The 21,827-nt window shown below is 46.4% G+C and overlaps 3 annotated features.

Moving 5' to 3' along the window:
• Positions 1,008 to 1,302: a silencer, noted in NCBI's record as "tiled region #2676; K562 Repressive non-DNase unmatched - State 22:ReprW". NCBI's record gives its function as "represses a minimal TATA promoter and a strong SV40 promoter by Sharpr-MPRA in K562 cells {active_cell/tissue: K562}" and the evidence as "EXISTENCE:reporter gene assay evidence [ECO:0000049][PMID:27701403]".
• Positions 1,008 to 1,302: an enhancer, noted in NCBI's record as "tiled region #2676; HepG2 Activating DNase matched - State 5:Enh". NCBI's record gives its function as "activates a minimal TATA promoter and a strong SV40 promoter by Sharpr-MPRA in HepG2 cells {active_cell/tissue: HepG2}" and the evidence as "EXISTENCE:reporter gene assay evidence [ECO:0000049][PMID:27701403]".
• Positions 4,823 to 5,560: an enhancer, noted in NCBI's record as "OCT4-NANOG-H3K27ac-H3K4me1 hESC enhancer chr1:229163271-229164008 (GRCh37/hg19 assembly coordinates)". NCBI's record gives its function as "activates a minimal SCP1, AML or CMV promoter by ChIP-STARR-seq in naive and primed H9 embryonic stem cells {active_cell/tissue: H9 hESC(naive and primed)}" and the evidence as "EXISTENCE:reporter gene assay evidence [ECO:0000049][PMID:30033119]".

Raw genomic sequence — 21,827 nt, 5'->3', positions numbered from 1 at the left:
AGCTTAGATAGTTAATTGCTTGTCCTTCTCGTGAGAATGTAAACTCCTCCAGAGCATCCACAGATCTGTATGTGATTGCGGACCCTCACCTATGGAATAAGGTCCAAACTCTCACAGCTTTCAAAGCTCACTGAGATCTGGTCTCAACTTAACATCAAGCCTCCATTTCTCTGCTCAGGCAACTAACAACCTTCACCTACTATTGCTCTTTCCCTGGATAGGGAGACACGCACTTGTAGGAGGAAAATGACCTGTCACTGAAAATGCACCAAGAAGCTGGTGTACTTGGCCTCACCTGCTGGCTCTGAGGAGCTGCCCATTCTGAGTCCCTTCTTTAGGGACGGAGTACTGTGGTGCTCCTCTTTACCACACTGTCTCCCATTATCCCCAGCCCTTTCTCCTCTAGCCTGTCCCTCCCACTTTCCAAACTATCACTGTGCAACAAAGAAAGAGAAAAAGGAAATGAGGCAATTGAAATGGAATTGAATCCTGGAAATCTGCAATTGCAGAAGGAAAGGTGGGGCTTGTGCTCCAACCCCCTCATGTCAGAGTTCATGGCAATCTCCTGGGGCTGGTTTTCTACCTTTTATCCTTTTAAAATTTTAATGTACTGCAGATTCTAACCTTCTTATCCATTCCTGGAAATCCCCCCATTTTACTTCTTTTCCCAATGGGCCCATTTAAATCTTGGCTTTGCCATTAGCAATGTTTGAATCTGAACAGCTTTAAGGTAAAGTGATCCCTGAAATGGTTCAAGTTAACATTTTCTTTTGTTTCAAAATTTCTTGCTTATTTTTTCCGGTTAAGACCCCAGTCCAAACCCCACATTTCAGATAGCACATCTGAGCTGCAGCCTCAGAATAGTGAGCTCATGTGCTGTGTTTGTCTTGGCTCAGCCCGCCTGACCTAGGCAGGGACTTGGTGTGTATGTAGGGGAGTGGGGGAGTAGGGGGCTGGGTGGGGGTGGTAATGGCAATAGATTAGAGCCATAACGACAGCCCCGTCCTAGCCCAGGCCGGCCAGCCTCTGGGGGCTCCAGGACCTCCTTCAGGGAAGCCCAGCAACGCCTTGTTGGTCCCTTTTTGGCCCTGACTTGCACCTCTGTGGTCTTTGATATCGGCTTATGTTCTTTTTTCTTTTTTAGAGACAAGGTCTCATTGTCACCCAGGGTGGAGTGCAGTGGCACAATCATAGCTCACTGTGGCCTTGAACTCCTGAACCCAACAAACCCTCCCACTTCAGCCTCCGAAGTAGCTAGGACTACAGACCCACACCACCATGCCTGGATAATTATTATTTTTTGTAGAGACAGGGTCTCACTGTGTTACCCAGGCTGGTCTTGAACTCCTGGCCTCAAGTGATCCTTCTGCCTCAGCCCCCCAAAGCACTGGGATTACAGGCATGGACCTCTGCACACGGGCCTGGCTTATGTTCCTCTTCTGCTCAACCAGGACAATGGTGGTAGGTGGTTAGAGACAGTCTGAGCAGATGGGGAGGCAGATGAAGAATCTGATGCATCCCCGGAGGTCTTTCTGCCCATTCTGGTAGGCAGATGTCGTGGCCGTCCCCAGGGTCCAGCCCAGGCCTTAGCTCATAGCCCATTTAGTGCCTGCCAAGTACAGGTCTCCCAGATGTATAATAGAACCTGACTATCGCTAGCTAGCTGTCCTTTTCTGTGGAATCTGCCTTCCCACCCCAGTTAGAGTCTTCCCTGACATCCATAGACCTATCTACAGCCCTCTGCTGCTGTTGCTAAGGAACCCCCAGGGCCCCATGAAGGCCCTTCTTGACCCTTCCCACTAAAACCTCTGCCAGCTCCACAGTAGCAGGGGCCTCATTAGCCAATCTGAGAGTGAAGTGGCTTCGTTGTCTGGGGAAATACCCGAGGTTCGTTGTCTCGAGCCGACAAGATTAACGACATGGACACACACGCACGGAGTAGGTTTAAGGGGCGGAAACTTTAATAGACACAGAAAGAAGAGAGAGAGAGAGAGCTTCCTCAGGCAGAGGAAGGGGGTGCCCAAGAGGGTTTCTAAGTTTGGGGTGGGATGCAGTTGATTATATAGAGGGGCTTGAGGAGGCGGTGTTTGATTTACGTAGGTCCCAGGGGATTGGTTTGGCCAGGTATGTCATTTACACAGCCTTCGAAGAAACTGGCCCTCCCACCCTAATCTTTTATTATGCAAATGTGGCCTCAACCTGGTGGTGCCATGACACCTGCACAGGTGACAACAAGGAGAGGGAGGGGAAGTCACCATGTTGGAATGTACTTGGCTTCCAGGTACAGCTGCTGGCACTTACACATGTGACCTTCCAGCTTGCTTATCTATGCTTGCAGCTTGGCTTTTGGGCTGCTTTCTGTTAGAAAAGAAATGGTTTGGGGGCTGCTTTTTATTAAAAGGAAATTCCACTGAGAACTCTTTTACCCACACTAACTGCCTAAAACAATTTCTTAATAACTTCTATATCATTCATGCTGGTTCTATAGACTCAAGGTCTCAGGGCACAGAGAATTTGGGACCCCATGGTGCCCCAGCCTCTAGATGCCAGGTCCTGAGGGCAGTTAGGGATAACTGCATTTAGGCTGGGAACGTAATGCCATTCCTACTGCAGTTTGAAATTTGTGGGCTGGCATGGAAAGCCATTGCATGGGGCCTCTCACACAGCACTCAATAAACTCTAACAAACCTCATGATAACCTGTTTCTACATGTGGGACCATTTGTATCTTTCAAAGATCTTCCATGGAACTCTCTGGAAATACTAAAATAGAGATCTTTGTAAGGGCCACTGCACTTTAGTCTGGGCAACATAGCAAGATCCCATCTCAAATAATAATAATAATAATAATAATAGTAGAGGTCTTAGAATCTGAGAGTGGAATTCCAACCCTGGCTCTGTCATGGCACAGTGTGACTATATCACACACAGCTGCTCTGGGTCCTGCTTTTAAGATGTGTACAATGAGTGGCTTGCCTAGCGTTGCTGGTTTTCTAATAAACCCTGACCACACAGAGGTGCCTGGGGAGGAGGAAGGGAGGGAGAGCTCTGTGCTGTCCTTCCAGCTCCTACAGAAGAATCTGTCTTAGTCAGGCCTCCCCATAAGATTTCATTTGAAAGAAAGTTTTGCACTTAGAAAGTAAAGCTCAAAAGCCACAGGACTAGGAGAGAACCAAGACCTTCCCAGCTCTAACATTCTGGAACTGAGCGCCAGAGCCTGGCATGTGACAAGCTGGCATTGCATTCCCCTCAAAGATGTCACTTAGGAAAAAGCTGACTCACTCATAGGAGTTAAATGGATTCTTCTAAGGGAAGACAAGACCAGTAGCTAACTCATTACTGAGCAGGCTCAATAACACTGATTGTCAAAGGAGCACGTCTACTGGTCGCAAAGTGCCATATGGCTGATTGCGTCTAATAAAATGAGCTCATGTTGAATTGACAATCTGTATATGTCTCTGTTGTCCCCAAAAAGACAGCTGAAAATGATTGAGGGCTGCAAGTATTTGGTGACTGCACCATGGATACAGTAATTTAACTCAGCTGTCACTAAGCTTGTGCCAGATTTGGCCTAGCAGACATTTTTGTGTTGATGGGGCGTGTTTCTTGGTGTGTCTCACTACAGGTGATGGGGTCAGTCCCAGCTGAGGGGTCCACATGGACTCCCCAGCAGGGGCAGTGTATGGCTGTGAGAGCTGCTCACACATCTCTAAGTCCTCATCCATTCCTTCTGTTCCCACGCCCTGCCCATCTCCTCCCACCAGATACAGTGCCAGGTGGGGAAGGCAAGTGAGGACGGTGGGGAGGGGGGTGCAGTGGCAAAGGCCCCCCAACACAGTCTGCTTTGTGACTTGTGGCTGGAGGACTCCACCTAGCACCTTCCTTCTGAGCTGAGCTCCAGCCTGGGCCCCAGTTGCCCCGAGTCCTGGTTAGAGTTCAGAGCTGCAGCTCAGGGTGGTAGCTGCAAGCCCCATGCGGCTACTGAGCACTCTAAATGTGGCAATTCCAAACTGACACTGAATTTCAAGCCCTTGGTACTAGAAAAAGAGACTATAAAAATCTTACAAATTTTATACGATTACATGTTGGAATGATAATGATTTTTATATACAAAGTATATTGCTAAAGTTAATTTCACCTGTTTCTTTTTATTATTATTACTTCTTAGTTAGCCACTAGAAAATGTAAGATGACGTGTGTGGCTCACATTATAATTCTGTTGGGCGCCACTGATCTAGAAAGAATTCGATTTGTAAAGGGGCCCAGATGGACCATTTCAGGGGATTCGGCAAGTGTTTGCCGAGCACCTTCTGTGTGCAGCTCATCTGCCGCACAGATGGCTGTCTGAGCTGCTGGGGGAGGTGGGAGGTGGGGTCGGAGCAGGGAGCTGCCCCATTGGAGGAGCGTGGGGAGCAGTGCCCATCCCTGAGCTGAACCACGGACATCTTCCTCAGGAAGCACTTTGAGTATCTGGGCCCAGCACAGCCCGGAACCCTCCCAGTACCTCTAAGGTTACAAGTAATTGTCTAAGGCCTACGTTATTCCTGCACACCCAAACACAGCCCTCAGCATCTCATGGGAAAAGAGAGCCTTATCTCCAAGATGCACTTTGAAGTTTAAAAATAAAAGTGGGGGTGACCAGTGCAGTGCTGGTTGGCCTCAGCCCATGATGGGGGCTTGGGAGAGTTTTCTTCTCTTTCTTCTCTTCCTCCCTCCCCTTCCTCCCTTCCATTCTCCTCTCCTTCCTTCCTTTCATCCTTTCCTTCATTCCTTCCTTCCTCCCTCCCCTTCCTTCCTTCCATCCTCCTCTCCTCTCCTCTCCTCTCCTCTCCTCTCCTCTCCTCTCCTCCCCTCCCCTCCCCTCCCCTCCCCTCCCCTCCCCTCCCCTCTCCTCTCCTTCCCTGCCTCCCTCCCTTTGATGCTTAAGACTCAGCACAGGAAGAGAGAGCTCCTAGGAACATGAAAGCTGAAGATAAACCCCAAAGCCTCCTTTGTCTTCCCTTAATCTGCTTTAAGCTCCCACCAGCTCAAGCCTAATTGAGTTAGTTCTTGAGTGAAAGGGAGCTTTGGTGATGTTAAACTGTTATTTAATCACAAGTGGCAGGTGGGATGTGGGGCAAAGGGCAGGAAAAGTGGGTCTGTGGGAACGTAGAGCTGAGCAAAGCCTTCCTTCCTCCCCTCGCATCAGGGAAGGCCCGCGATGCCCTTTCATTAGTATTTCAGCCAGTGTTTTCCAAATTGCTGACCATAAACCGTTAGGGGATTGGGAAATCAGTTTCGTGGATTTCAACGAGCATTGTTGAAATGTGGGGGGTGGTGCGGCCTGGGAAGAGTAGAACAGAAAGTAACAGAAGGCTTTGCAGGTAGTGAAAGGAAGTATTGCTTCCTGAAACTTTTGACTTAGATGTGAGTCAGCTGTGTGTGCATGTGCACTTAATTGCAACAGAAAATGCACTTTTTGCTGTGGGTCATGAGCAAAAAAGTTTGAAAGCTTCTCTCTGATGCTCCTAGAAATAGAGTCCCTTCTGTGCGTGGGTCAGGAGAAATGATAAGCAACAGAGGATGGGGAACAGGAATCCTTGGCTGTGTGATAGAAAAGGCTGTGGGGAGGTGCGAGGTGGGAGGTGGGAGAAGCAGCAGGGTCTGAGTGCCCGGGCCTGGGCAGCCTGTTAAACTTCATGGCCCCATGGTCTGTTTGCTTCTGCACCTGCAGCAGGGAGCAGAGGCCAGGCCCCAGGGGGCACGTGGCTCCACATTCTGAAAATCAAATTAGTGGACAAGGGAATGGAAGGCCTCTTTGAGGGGCTCTGTGCCACATGTATTCACCTGGGATCGGGGAAGGAAGGATGACAATGGAGAGAGTGTTCTGGGAGGAAATTCAGTTCTCACCTGAGTAGACTGTCTGTGGGGGGCTTTGCAGATGCTCAGCGTTGCAGAAGATGACGTTTCTATTTCCACTGTTAAAGAACCCGTCTTGGCCAGGCGCAGTGGCTCACACCTATAATCCCAGCACTTTGGGAGGCCGAGGTGGGTGGATCACGAGATCAGGAGTTTGAGACCAGCCTGGCCAATGTGGTGAAACCCTGTCTCTACTAAAAATACAAAAAATTAGCAGGGTGTGGTGGCACACGCCTGTAATCCCAGCTACTCGGGAGGCTGAGGAAGGAGAATCACTTGAATCCAGGAGGCGGAGGTTGCAGTGAGCTGAGATCGTGCCATTGCACTCCAGCCTGGGCGACAGAGCAAGACTCCATCTCGAGAAGAAGAAGAAGAAAAAAGGAACCCCTCTTATTCTTTCGCCATTCGTATTTTATGTGTATAACAGTCAATATTATGATGAGCACTGGGATTCATACTAACTCATTCTATTGCTAAAACAATTTTTTCACTGAGCTTTTTCTTTTGGTGCCTCTTAAATAATCTCACTATTAAGCCAAAAAAATCAGAAAGTGAGCTATTTGGGAAAAAACAAGCACAAAGATGAACTCAACCCTGGTTGAAATATAGCCCTGGGGAAGGGAACTACTTGATCTCCCAAAGCACAAAGATCGGCGACTTTGTAGCACTTTGAGTGTCTGGGCCTGGCAGGCAGCTCTGAATGTTCCTGTTGCCTCTAAGGTTACAAATGATTGTCTAAGGCCTATGTTACACCTTCATACCCATGTACGACACTCAGCCTCTCATGAGAAAAGAAAGCTTTATCTCTAAGATGAACTTTGAGGTTTAAAAATAAAAGCAGGGCTGCCGTTTCCCAGGGCCACTGTTGAGACTGCGCAGAATGGGCTATTTCTTTACAAATAAACAAGCGTCTTACAGGCTGACCAGCTAACTGGCATTTCAGGTGGCTGAAACTTTTCCTTTGAGGCCTACCCAGGTGAAGGGACATTTACTTGGGTTTAACATGTTTGCATCTGAGGAGAAATTTTTAAAAGCATTTTTCTTATGGAGAAAGGGAAACATTTTGCTATTTATTTATTTATTTATATTTTAGAGATGGAGTCTCACTTCGTCACCCAGGCTGGAGAGCAGTGGCGTGATCATAGCTCACCGCAGCCTCGACCTGGGCTCAAGGAATTGTCCCAGGAAACTGTTCTTTTCAAATGGCGGGGAGACAGAAAATGCTGATGATCCACAGTGCTGCTCAAGTTTAGAATGCAACAAAGAAACAGCCAGTTGTTGTGAAATTATTCGCCAATCATTACACACAATGACAGGAAATTATTTATAGAAAAAATCCCAACATAATTTCTTTCCCCAGCATCCCAGGGGACAAACCAGGGAAGGTAGTGCAGGAACAAGCCCAGCAGTGAGCTGTCACCTGTGGCACTGCTCAGCCACCTGCTGTGTCTTCAGTAGCTTCCCCTTCAGGCATGGGGCTTTCTTCCTGCCTGTACCTTAGTGTATCCCAGCAGGATGAAAGCACTTCTGAGACAGATGTTTCTGGGTCCTAGTGTTTCTCTTTGCCCTGCCCTGGGTTTAGTATGCACACATCCACACTGGCGGTTGCTCCTAGCCCCCAGGGCCTATGTCCTGCGACCCTTCTTGGCCTTTACTTCTCATGGCATGAAGGAGGGAAAGGCCCAAAGAAGCGAAGGCCCTGCATGAGCTAGGTGGCTGGGGAGGGGTTGAGCAGGCTCATAATTAGGAAGATGACAGACAAGGATGCTGGCATCCTTCACACTGATGTGCTGTGTAAAGTCCGGCTCGCAGTGTGACCCTGTCACCCCCAGAGGACCAGGACCATTGAGCGGCACCTTCTGACTGGCACAGCTCCTTTGAGGCTCTCAGAGGCGCAGGTTTTCCTCCAGGCCTGGTGGCTCTTCCTGGAGGGGATGGTGCTGCCATCCTCTCTAGCAGTCCAGGGTCTGCACCGTGGGCTTGGTGGGGCCCAGTGTCCTCGGGTCACAGCTCTCAGCAGAATTCTGCTTCTCTGCTGCCTGTGGTAGCTCCTCCACCAGGACCCAGCCAGTGCCAGGAGGGTGGAGTGGGTCCCGGAGGCAGGAACGGGGTAGCAGATCCCTGGAGAGCTGAGCCTGAAGGGACCATGGGCCAGCTTGGGAAGTAAAAAGAACAGTAGAGAGGCTGGAGCCCAGGTGTGGGTCTCAACTGTGGGTCTCAGGACAAGCGAGGGGGTATGTCCCCAGAGGGATGGGAAAGTGGGCCCAAGGCTGAGTGAAAGCACATTGCCAGGAAGAGCCAGGGGACGGAGAGGGAGCCAGAGAAGCAGAGGATTCATCTGCTGTCCTGGGAACCTGTGAGTCACTGCTGCTGAGTCATCAGAGCTGCCTAGAAGCTGCTTGGTTGAACCCAGGAGCAGAATGGGAAGGACCAGAAAGGAAGTTCTTCTCCTTCTCCGGGACCCTGGAAAAGGATCATGGGCGTGGCTGGGCCAGGCAGCACCATGAGGGCATCAGCCTCAGGTGGAGCAGGTCCTGGTCAAAGAGCTCCGTGGTCCAGGCCAAGCTGCTAGAGCAGAGCCCGAGGCCCCTGGCAGTGCGGTGTGGGGACCGTCAGCACGCACTGGCTTACGTTCTAGACTCTACGTTCACTTTAGAGGTGAGGCAATGGAGACCTGGAGACTTGCCCGGGGCCATAGAGAGTCAGAGGCGCTGGTCCTCCAGAGCCCATGCTCCCTAATCACTGCCCAGGGTCTGCAGTGATCAGATCCTGGAGACACAGTGACGAGACCTTATCATGCTTGTATTGTTAAGGGCCCAAACTGAGCTAAATGGCCAATTGAAAGACGGATAGATAAATTCCAAGGATGCTCTCCTTATGGCAATGCCATTTGATTTGCTGGTGTATTTATATATTTGGGGGATTTTTAAACCTCTGAATAAGTATATAAATTTTTTACCATGCTCATGTGAGGAGTCCCCAGGCCTGGGAAATAGGGAAGGACTGCGCAATTTGCTGTTTCTTTAAGGAGTGGAGCATCTGCCACCATTCTGTGTCTGGCTGCTCTCCCAGAACCTGGTGCACTGACAAGGCCAGGCTGTGGCTCAGGTCCACATCCCAGGAACTGCCCTGCCCTGGGTGCGTTGATGGCGATGTTGGACGTGAAGGTGTCTGTGGGCTTAGTGTGCACACTCTCCCCTTTAGAGAAGTGGATGCTGGGAGTTTTATGTTGTCCCATGCTCCATCTGGCAGGACCCAGTCACCTGGATGCTGGTGTGGCCTGGGCCGACCGAGTATCTGTATCAGCTGCCGTCTTAGTGCTCTAAAATTTGCCAGTTCCCTTCCTGGGCTGATGGCCTGCAGGCTGTGCTGGCTGTCTCCATGGGAGCAAGGCTGTGGACTGCTGTGTGTCCCAGAGAGGAAGTGGACTACTGAGTTATGTGCGTACGACAGCCTGTGGTTTCTCTGTAGGCTGCAGCAGACCCAGCAGATGAGCCAAGGAGACCCTCCTTGCCTCTGCTCCACGCCGTTCACCATCCTCTGATTCTGTCCACCTCATAAATGAGAAATCCGAGGCTCCCTGAGGGTCAATGCATTGATCAAGGTTCAACTGCTTGGAAGTGGCATATCCCCAACTCAAAGTTAAGCTTTTTTATGCAAAAGCTGGTGCTACACTGTTGTACCTAGTGCCTGTTATATCTTGTGAGTAATTTTGCTTTGGCAGGACAGACCAGCAGTCTAGAAATCGTTTCTTAGTGATGCTAAAGGGCACCATGGTGGAGTCTTTTCCTTCATGACTAGAGTGATGTGCCTGCCCCAGGGAGCTCCTGACCTCTCCCTGGACTAATCAATGATGTTTGCAATGAATTATCCCACCCGAGATTTCCTTCTCCAAAAGAGGGGTTTTGCAGGGGCTCTGCTGTTTGGATAAGGCGGTGAGTCAAGGTAAGATTAGAAGCCTCTTGATCTGCAGAGAATAGTGCATTGTGGGTTCTGGCTGCACCCTACAGGGTTGGGACCCAGGCACTTCCTTTTCTGTATTGCTTGTTTGCAAGGAAAGGGCTCCTATGTCATCCATAGTGACCAAGCGGGTGATGACAAGTGTTCTTGCTCCCATCATGGGTATCTCTGGCCTGGACAGCCAGGAAGAAAATAGTGATTAACTTTGCGCCAGCTTTCCTTTCTCTGGTTGATTTGGCAAAAATGCTCTGACTTTCCCTTTTGTTCTGTTTGAGGAAAATTTTAGCAGGAGGAAAGATTTTGTCAGGCTGAATTGATCCAGTTGTGTTTCCAGGGCATCCAAGCCTCTCCCTGCGGCCCTGGCCCGCCTCCTCCCCATGCACCAGGCTCTGGCTCCCGGGTACTCCTCCTGCCATGGGGCCCACGCAGCAGCTACAATGCATGCTTTGTTCAGGGAGCCCTGGGGAGGCAGCTGGCTACAAAAAAGTTCATCCACTAACTGGGCTTGTCCTTGACATCTGGCTTCTCTCCTAGGACCTCATTTTCCCCAACTTAAGTGGGATTTTGAATTAATGAAATTATAGCCCTTTGAACTGACTTGAGAATTCTCTCCCAGGCTCAAATTACATCTCCACTCAGTGTGTCTAGATGGCTCCAACACTTTCACAGATCATCCCCTCCCAACCCCTAGGAGATCATCTACATTGCTGTTTTCCAGTTGTAGAAGAATGTGATTCAATAGAACCTACTGCCTGAGACAGTGATAGCATGTGTGCATTTATTGAGAGCACTATACTAGGCATTTTATACTAATTTTCTCTAAAATTCACAACCCATAAGGTAAATAATGATACAATATCCCAATTTTTCTGACAAGGAGACCAAAGCTTTTGTCTACAGTTACTCAGCTAGAGGGTGGCAGAAGCTAGATTTGAACCCATATCCCTCTAATGCTAAAGCCTGTGAGACTCCACGGTGTCCCTCTAAGTCACAAGTTGTCTGTGAGTGTATATTTACAAACACATGTGGACAAAAATTTTGATAGTAGCATCCACAAACGTCACATTGAGATGTGAAACAGGCCTCTAATAAATCAGATCGGGATATCTTCTTTGCTTCTCACCTGGCATGATGCTGGGTTTGTGGCAAGATACAAATATGTATAAAGTTGGCCTCCTGTTGCCTCAACACGAGATGCCTTTACATCCTAAAATTGCTATTACTTAAGTTAAAATACATCACACAGTCTACTTCAGCCTGCTTCAGGTCAACTTGTGGTTGTCACAGGGGCCAGCCTCAGAGGTAGACAGAGTTTAGACTTTTCAGTCTTACCCCCAGTGTCCTTCTTCTCTCACTGGGAATTTCCCTTTGATATTCCCACCAAATACCCTTGCCCTGGATGGAGTCATATTCTCTGAAGTATCTTCCATTCAAGGGTCCTAAGAGTCAAGGTCATTCCTGATGGAAACACACGCCTAGGAAAAGAAAATCAACCCTCAATGTGATCTAGGTCCTTTAGATCTAATTTCCACTTTTTAAAAAAATCCAAGGGTCAGAGGGACATGTTAAATGACACCATAAGAACATAGCAGCAAGTCCAGACTGGGGGAAACTGCAGGACAAATGACCTGGTTTCTTCTCCAATAAGAATTTGTAAAGAAAAAAAGGCCAAGTGTAGGTGCCCATGCCTGTAATCCTAGCACTTTGGGAAGCTGAGGTGGCGGGATCGCTCGAGCTCAGGAGTTCAGCCTGGGCCACATAATGAGACCTCATCTCTACTAAAAATTAAAAAAAAATTCACTGGGCATAGTGGCACCCACCTGTAGTCCTGGCTGTTTGGGAGCCTGAGGTGGGAAGATTGCTTGAGCCCAGGAGGTTGAGGCTGCAGTGAGCCGTGATTGTGCCACTGCACTCCAGCCTGGGGGACAGAATGAAACTGTATTGAAGAAGAAGAACAAGAACAAGAAGAAGAAGAAGAAGAGGAAGAGGAAGAGGAAGAGGAGGAAGAGGAGGAGGAGGAGGAAGAGGAAGAGGAAGAAAGAAGAAGAAGAAGGAGGATTTATAGAATATGTAGATAGAAAGAAACTTCAGAGACAAATCAACCAATCTCAGTATATGAATCTCTTATTAAATCCAGAGTCAAACAAATGAAGTACAAATTACAAGACAATTGGGAAAATGCAAACACTGGCTGGGTATATTATGAGACTAAGGACTAACATTAATTTCTTAAAAAGTAAGAATGATGTTATCATAATCATATATTTTTAAAAACAGCCCTTATCAATTGAAATACTTAGATATGCAATGATATGATATTTGTTCATACTAGTATTTGTTATACCATAGTCAGGGTAGGCAGCAGTTAATTGCTGGGTGTATAGACAAAATACTGTCTGCCATGTGTTGATAATTATTAAAACCAGGTAATGGATATGTTGGATTATTAAATATTGTCTGTAATTTTATATATATTTGAAATTTTCCATAATAATGAGTTAAAAAAAAAAACAAAAGAAAATAAGGGCATACCCCTTTATGCTCCGTCCCCAGTGGGTGGCCCAAGTGGAGGGTGGAGAACTTCGACTCTGGATTCAACCAGACTAGTTGGGCTCGCTGTGCCCACCACTGCCCAACTGGGAGCTCCACTGGATGGAACCCTGGCCTGATGTAACCATGGCTCACTGAGGACCAATCAGAAGGAGAAAGAGCTAGCTAGCACATTTAGAGGACAATCAGGAGAGTAATGGAAAGGAATTACCAGCACAATGGCAATCTATGAAAAGCACTTTGTAAATTGGGAATTAATAAATTCTTTTTAGTTACAATTCATGTATTCTTAGAACTAGGGATATAGCAATGTTCACAAATCCTCTTCCAGAGGAATTTAGAAAAAATAATTAGAGGATGGTGCAGAAACACAAGGATACAAATGATGTGGAAATGCCAGAGAGAGATCATGGCTGATGGGTAGGAAACTGAGGAATGACCTCAAGCATGCCTGGACTACCCCTGGTCCCAGGCTGGTGGGTTCAGGATGCACAGGGTGGGGCTGTCCTCCTTCCCGCCTGGCTAGCCTGCCTGGCAAGGCTAGCTCTTCACGGAACCGGCTCAAGAATAGAGATTGCACAAGTGTTTCAGCAAAGTGCTGCCACCTGGCAAGACTAGAATGCCAAGAAAACTAGAAGAGCCAGCAGGAGCAGAGAACTCCTGTCAAAGTGAAAGTGGGGGAGTGCCTTAGTCTGAGGGTTCAGCTCTCAGACAGTCAGTGTGTGCTGGGTGGATAGTGTGAGAGCGGGCCATGTCGCCCTTTCCTTTTGCTGCCTCCGGCCCTTGTCTCGAGAGCTACCTCTCTGGTCCTCAGATATCCCAAGAAGGCAGGACGGGGAAGGGGTCAGGTCCCCAGTGGTGGAGCTGGGAGGGGAACACTTATTTGTCCATTCAGGCAGGCTGGTGAAGGACTTAGGACTGCCCTGGTCATGCTGGGCTGATGTCATGCACTCAGGGACCAGGTTTGCATCCTAGCCTGCTTCCTATTTGTTTCTGTCCTTGGACAGGTTATTCATTTACCTCATCAGTAAAATAGGGATCCTCCTTCTGCACTGCTATCATAATTGAGATTATTGCCACGTGTTTCCAGGTAGGGGTTTGAGAGGGAGAATGAGCAAGAGGTGGTGAGGTGCGGGGACAAAACATGGGCTCCAGGGACAGACAGAGAGGAGAGATAAATCCCTGTTCCTCTTCTTGCCAGCACTTGGATAAGATTTTTAGAAATTTACATTTTCCCGTTGCTCAAAATTGTTGTTATCTTCTTTTACATTTTCTAGACAAACAAGTAAAAGTTTCTTCCATAATCCAGCTTCTCTCCCCCATCAATGTTGTAAAGAAAACCAGTAGTACTTAAGAGAGTGGATGGCAGGCATGGTGTGATTATGTGTGAGAGCTCTTGGGAAGCACTCAGTGTATTGGAACTTTCTTTCAAAGAAAGGAAGTGAGAGAAACAAACAAGTTAAGGGGACTGCTATGGTCTGAATGTTTGTCCCCCCCTCACCCCAACATTCATATTTTGAAATTTTAACCTCCAATGTGATGATATTTGGAGTTGGGGCCTTTGGGAGGTGATTAGCCCATGAGGGTGGGGCCCTCATGAGTTGGATGAGTGGCCTTATAAAAGAGATCCCAGAGAGCTCCCTCATCCCTTCCACCATGTGAGGACACAGAAAGAAGGTGCCGTCTGTGGACCAGAAAATGAGCCCTCACCAGACACGGAATCTTTGGCACCTTCTTCATGGAGTTCCAGCCTCCACAGCAGTGAGGAAGGAGTTTCTGTGTCTTGGAAGATGCCCAGCCCAAGGCATTTTGTTATAGCAGCTGGAATGGACTAAGACAGTGACCATTCTCCCTTTGCAACCACAGCAACACAGGGTTTTGAAAGCAGTCAATAAATGAGTCATATTAAATCACAGAAAATAATTCTCATATGGAAAAGTCATCTCTTTGTCTCCTTTTGCCTGCTGGGAAAGGCTGTCTCCTCTGAGCCTCCTTCTAGTGATCATGCACAGGTGTCGGTTAGAGATTCACTCTCAGTCTGTGGCTTTATTCACATCTGCTGCATCAGAGCTCAGCATTTGGGAGCCAGAGCCCACTGGGACAAGGGACAGCCACCATCTGGGAGGCAGAGCTGGGAGCCAGAAGGCACCCTTTTCTCCAGGACAGGACCACCACAGGCCTGGCTGTCTCTGTGATGGGCCCCCATCTCTGTCCTCTGAAGCCTTACCAGAAAAGTTATCGGCTGCAGGGAGATGGAGATATGAAGCCACTTTGAGGTCCTCAAAAAAAAGTTGCTCTAACACGACCAAACTCAGTATCTTTCAGAAGGCGGCCAGTTAGTGCTGTGGATGGGAGCCCTAAATGGTGACCTGGAATTGCAGCCTCACTGAGAGGCTTCCCCAGGGATCTGAGGCATGCAGCTCTCACTCTGCCACAGAGATGGCATCTGAATTGCCTTCTGTCCACGGAGGAGCAACAGCAGTGTCCCCACAAAGTAGTAGTGGGGACCTGGCTGTGGGCAGACTGAGACAGGGCCTGAAATATGCCAGGGAGTGGCTAAGTGGCAAACGGGAGCTAGAAATGGAGGGACCTGGGGAAGGGCAGCTCAATCGAGCACAAGTGGCACTCGCAGAGCAAGCAGGAGGAGTGTGAGACCATGCTTGTCGCATCCAGCTACCTGCACAGTGGGTGCTCCCGCCTCTCCCTAGTCCCCTGCATCAGCCCAGTCTCCATCATGCTGGCTCTCCACTTGCTGTGGCACTGAAAATTCCAGCCGAGGGCATTTCTACCAAGTTATTACTGACCAATAGCATTTAGCTTGTTTCCCTTCTCAGAGACAAACAAGTTTAAAAAAGAGTTTTCTGCTGCTTCTGCTGCTTCTCCTTCTCCTCCTCCTCCTCCTCCTCCTCCTTCTTCTTATAGAGACAAGGTCTTGCTCTGTCACTCAGGCTGGAGCTGGAATGCTGTGGGGTGATCATAGATCACTGAAACCTTGAACTCCTGGGCTCAAGTGATTCTCCCACCTCAGCCTTGCAGTAGCTAGGACTACAGGTGTGCACCACCACACTCAGCTAAATTTTTTGTAGAAAATAAGTCTGTTATGTTGCGCAGGCTGGTCTCACACTCCTGGGCTAAAGGGATCCTTCTGCCTTGACGTCCCAAAGCACTGGGATTACAGGTGTGAGCCACTGTGCCCAGCCAAAAAATAGTTTTCATTTACTGTACATCTATGTGGCATAACCTGAAATTTTTTCAAATCGAATCGCTCAGTCCAACTTTTATTTTGTCATGTGTTTTTCCAATTCTCATCCATTTGCATAAGCAAGGTTCATTTAATCATTTCTCATTTGACAAATGCTAGTGCCTGCTTTGTCATCCTAGAGTTTCACAACGTATTTTATGCTACTGAGAGCTCTGAGAAGTTCTGCCATAAAAAATCAATCTCTTCCACTTTCGCTTATCATCTTTTTTCCTTGATACAAATTCTGGTGGATTTATGCAACAGAATACTTTACAACTTCAGAGTCCAATGTGGAGCCCCAAGACCCCTGTGGCAATCCAGCACTTAAACTGGGACTGGTCTAAACTGAGACGTGCTGTAAGGGTAAAATCCATGTCAAGTTAGGAAGATAGGGCAAAAAGAAGAACATAAAACTTCACATTAACACTTTTTATTTATTAATTTTTTAAGACAGGATCTCACTCTTGCCCAGGCTGGGATGCAGTGATGCAATCACGATTCACCGTAGTCTCGACCTTCCCGGGCTCAGGTGATCCTCCCACCTCAGCCTCCTGAGTAGCTGGGACTACAGGCACATGCCACCACACCTGGCTAATTTTTGTATTTTTTGTAGAGACAGGGTTTTCGCCAGTTCACCCAGGCTGGTCTCAAACTCCTAGGCTCAAGTGATCCTCCCACCTCAGCCTCTCAAAGTGCTAAGACCACAGGCATGAGCCACAGTGCCCTTCATATTAACAATTTTGAGGGCAGTGGTGGAGAGGGCAGGGAGGATGGGAAGTTGTCCATCAAAGGGTACAGAGTTGCAGTTATGTAAGATGAGTAAGTCTAAGAGATTTAATGTACAACATGAGGACCATAGTTAATAATATTGTATTGTGTTGTATACTGGAAATTTGCTAAGAGGGTAGATTTTAGATACACTTAACCACACACACACACACACACACACACACACACACACACAGAGTAGCTAACTATATGGATAATGGGCATGTTAATTTGCTTGACTGTAGTAATCACTTCACTACATATATGTATATCAATATCAGGTTGTACACCTTAAATACATACTGAAAATAAAACACTTTTTATATTGATTATGGGTTGAAATGATAATATGTTGGCTATATTGGGTTAAATAAAATGTTTCTAAAGTTAACATTATTTGTTTCTTTCTTTTTTTTTTTTTTTAGGAGAGTAGGTCTCATTCTGTTGCCCAGACCAGTCCAGACTCCCCTCCGACCCTGCCCCACTTCCACTGCCAGGATCTGATGTGTCCTTAGGTGGCCCACACAGTCCTCCCAGCTATCTGCAGCTGCTGCTGGAACCTCCTTCACGCAGGCAGAAATGGGGTTTTTGGCCCTGACACGGTGTCCTCTTACATTCCCCCTGAGCTGGCTGCTAGAACTGGGCCATGTCTCTAAATGCCCTTCAGTCTTTCACAAAGCAGGGCGCGCGGGGTGTGTGAAAGTTCAGGCTGTGCTGATGGGAACAACCCATCCCATCCTTTCCCGTTGCTCCTCCCCAGCGTTGGCTGAAGCCCTCCTTTATTCACTGGACAGGTTATCTCGTAAAGAAGGCGCTAGCTTATGAACTCAGTCAGCACGTCGGTGAAACAGCCCGAGATCATTTGAAGCTGGTTTCAGGGCTTTGTTTATTCTTTCAGTTTTTCTAAAGTTACTGAAGGAGGCGCGTAATTCAGAGCAACTGAGAATTTTCTAGTAACTCTTTTTTCTCTGCACCCCCCCTCTCCACAGGAGGATTTAGATAGAAGCCATTACTTATTACTCTTAAGTGAGTTTGCCCTTTTGCTCAAGGGTAAATTATAGTCAAATCCTATCAATTTTTACTCAAATAATTTGAAATTATATAATTCACTGTATTAGAGTTCTCTAGAGAGACAGAACTAATGGAATATGTACATATATATGTACATATATATATATGTATATATATGGGAGTTTATTAAGTATTAACTCACACGATCACAAGGTCCCACAATAGGTCGTCTGCAGGCTGAGTAGCAAGAAGAGCCAGTCCGAGTTCCAAAACTGAAGAACTTAGAGTCTGATGTTCGAAGGCAGGAAGCGTCCAGTACAGGAGAAAGATGTAGGCTGGGAGGCTAGGCCAGTCTCTCTTGTCACGTTTTTCTGCCTGCTTGTATTCTAGCCATGCTGGCAGCTGATAAGATTGTGCTCACCCAGATTAAGGGTGGGTCTGCCTTTCCCAGCCCACTGACTGAAATGTTACCCTCCTTTGGCAACACCCCCACAGACGCACCCAGGATCAATACTTTGTATCCTTCAATCCAATCAAATTGACACTCAGTATTAACCATCACATTCACATACGGCCTGGATTGAAGTTACTGGTCCTTGTCAAACCATACATTGGGAAATACCTGTGGCTCAACAAAGGGTCCCAAATTTGGAATTCCAATCCCATGTTTGGAATATGTGAGTTCAACCCCTAGCTATACCAAGTTTTCCCAGGGAGGCCACTCATCTCTTAACCTTAGTTTATACTCTATAAAGTGAGGATAATAGTAGAAATACACCCTATGCCAAGTTGTAAGGATTCACCAAAATAACAGAAGTAAACAACCTTTGTAAACTGCAAAGCTATGCAAATAGAAATGGTCATTGTTTATCAACAGCGTGCATGAAAAGTACAAACAAGATTGGGAGAAATAAAATGTTAAGATCATATTTTAAAACTCTATAAGCATTCTATCTTCTTACGATTGATGTGCTAATTCCAACACCTTGTATTATGACCAGCTCTCTAATGACCTCTGTTTGAAATCGGACCCTTCTTGCTCTGTTACCTCCTGGAGACCCTGCCAGAAATGCCCAGAACAGAAAGGGGAACAGCCAGGACAAAGTGGGGCAGCTTCTGCAGAGGAAAGGCTTGTTTCTCTTGGTTTTATTCACTGCTTGTAAGGAGAAGAAGTTAGGTCCTGAAATCCCAGTAACTGACTCACCATCACTTTAAAAGACTGATTTTTATATGGAAAAAAATATGTTTTCCTGACAGACTATAAAAAGATAAAAGAGCATCTAACCCACTGCAAAGAGAGGTCTTATGAAATTCAAGGGCTGAACCCCGACTTTCCATGAAAAGAAAGGCCATCTTGGTCAAATTAAACATAGGCACTTGCAGTCCATATCGTCAGCAGAAGGACGGCCTGCTGGTCTAGCGAGCATACTTCTTCCTTATGCTGCTTGCTGTCTGTCACCTCCAGCAGATTCACTCCCTACCTTCTTCCTCCCTCTTCCTCCCCTCCTCGTTTCTTTTCTGGTAGTATTTGTGTCTACTTAGCCACACATTATCTAAATCCTACTTAAGATAAACAGGAAAACGGAAATGGGATTTAGGAGTTAGTGTGGAAAAGTCCTTGAAATTTTCAACTCAGTGTATGAAAACAAAAGAGGGTTAGGTAGGACGCCAAAAAAAAAAAAAAAAAAAAAAAAAAAAAAAAAAAAAAAAAGTGCAGAGATTTCTAATAATTGAATTTGGGAAATATTTGCAAGCAAATCATACACATGCGTTAATAGCTGGACCCCACCAGAAGCACCTTTGTGGATAAGTTGGAAGTTATTCTTATTAGATGGTGTAAAATAAGACAATTTTAAAAGGCTTAAAGTTTTACAATTTTTACAGATTAAAATTTGAGAAGGCAAATTTTGGGGGTTATAGGTATTAAGAATGAGGATTAGGGATATCAAATGGACTTTAATGAAATGGCGGCTGGGTGCGGTGGTGGCTCACACCTGTAATCCCAGCACTTCGGGAGGCCAAGGTGGACAGATCACGAGGTCAGGAGATCGAGACCACCCTGGCTAACACGGTGAAATCTCATCTTGTAAAAATACAAAAAATTAGCTGGGTCTAGTGGCACACACCTGTAGTCCCAGCTACTCGGGAGACTGAGGCAGGAGAATCACTTGAACCCAGGAGGCGGAGGTTGCAGTGAGCCGAGATCGCACCACTGCACTCCAGCCTGGGTGACAGAGCAAGACTCTGCCTCAAAAAAAAAAAAAAAAAAAAAAAGAAAGAAAGAAAGAAAAAGAAATGGCATAGTTGTTGAGAAGGAACTTCCAGTGTGTTTAATTAATCCTGGATACTCACATAGGATTAGAGATCTGTGATGCTCTGGCATTTATGAGCCTCCACTCCTCAGTCTTCCTAACTTGTGATGGGTCTTTTTAATGAAAAGCTGCCCCAAATCATTTTCTAACAAAGAGCAGCCTGAAAGCTGGGAGTTTGCAAGGGTGAATGCCAGCAGGAACTAAGGAGTAGATATGTTCAAGATAGCGACTTCATCTTCCCTTATCTTCCAGTCATGTGTACTGTAAATGACATCATACCAATATTCCAATCAATTCTCACTCAGTCGCCACCCACAATGACAAACTGTAAGACAGAAAAGCAAAGGAGTGAAAATGGCCCCTTGAAGTCCAGAGAGTGATGTCATACTTGCCTCTCTGGGTTCATCACTTATCATGACAAACATCTTCTCATTCCCTTAGTATGCTTATGCTGTTCCTGCCAAACTAAGATATCTTTTGAAGATAAAACAAAACATAAAAATAGGGCTTTCATCTTATTTCAGTGCAAATGGAATGTTACTGAAAAATATATAAAAACAAATTACACCAGAACATAAAATACATGCATGGGTCTGTGCAACAGAAGTTACCTCTATTACACATATCAACTGAAGTTATACAATGAGAAAAAACATAACTTATTAGGTAAACTTGCCATGAAGTGGATAAAATGAGCAGCAAAATATGCCACCATCTGATAACAGAGCCCAGAGAAGGATCTGAGAAGCTTGGCCGTGGCTTGATGGCTGAGACCAAAAGCTGAGATTGGGACATTCTACAGTTCATCTCGGTAAGAGTGCCCATGTGCTGGGTTTCTTCATTGTAATGATTTTCACAAAATATGTTCACCAAGATGAGCAAGATTTGTTGGATGTAAAACCTGACACATTCACGAGGGCCAAAAAGCAAACACTCCATTCAGCTAGTTTTTAAACACACCATCAAGTAAATTGGCAAAAATGCCCAGCGTCTGTAGCCCCAGTCAGCAGCCCCAGGAGGAGGAACCACATGGGTTTCTCACACTTGATCGGCCCCAGGTTGCGTGGGTTTCCACGTGGTCAGTCTCTGAGTGGGCTTCCACCTGAGGATGGCCAGGCTGTGGAAAGGTGACAGTTGTCACTGCCTGCCCTCACACACTGAATCTGGGTGTCCAAGGCAGGGGGCAGAGTCCTGAGAACAAGAAAAGCCCATTCTAGCAGCTGCTTCTTCCTTATGGGCAGCGGCTCTGTGGGAAACACAATGATGGTTCTCAATTGCCAAGTGGTTCAGAAGACTGGGACTTTGTGAAGACGTGTCACGAACATCTTAACCAATTTTATTCTCCATATATTCCTCACTTTATGAAACAGCGCTCTGTGATTTAACATTGTTTTTAAAAACTTTAAAGAGTACTTCCAACAATTATAAAATTAACATTCTAAGATGTAAGAAACTGGTCTGGTCTTAGTGGTGCTTAGGATAATGGTGCTATCCTACAATGGTAAGTTGCACAGATAAGCACTGTGCTAGGATCTTTCAACTTGGCATTGGATATTGCTATGGAAATTGTCAATTTTATTAACAATGATTTGTAAAGGTATGTAAAAATTTGCCTTTTCATAGTAAAGTTTGATGTCTATCTCTAGAGAAGATGTGATACTGGTAGGAATATTTAAATGACACTATGTATATATAGTGAGACAAAATCACTATATACATACCTACATACACACACGTATATACAGTCATGCATTGCTTAACAACTGGTGTATGTTCTGAGAAATGTATTGTTAGGTGATTTCATCGTTGTGTGAACATCACAGCGTGCAGTTACAATAGCCTAGTACACACCTAGGCTATATGGTACAGACTATTGCTGTCAAGCTACAAACCTGTATGGCATGTTACTGTACTGAATCTTACTGTACTGAATTGTAACACAATGGTAAGTATTTGTGTATCTAAACATAGAAAAAGGACAGTAAAAACATTGCATGAAAGATAAAAAGTGGTACACTTGTAGAGGGCACTTACCATGAATGGAGCTTGCAGGACTGGAAGCAGCTCTGGGTGTCAGTGAGTGGTGAG

Source organism: Homo sapiens, chromosome 1 (assembly GCF_000001405.40).
Source record: "Homo sapiens chromosome 1, GRCh38.p14 Primary Assembly".
Classification (NCBI taxonomy): Eukaryota; Metazoa; Chordata; class Mammalia; order Primates; family Hominidae; genus Homo; species Homo sapiens.
The sequence above is the reverse complement of the archived record's forward strand: the minus strand, read 5'-3'. Positions and strand labels throughout refer to the sequence as shown.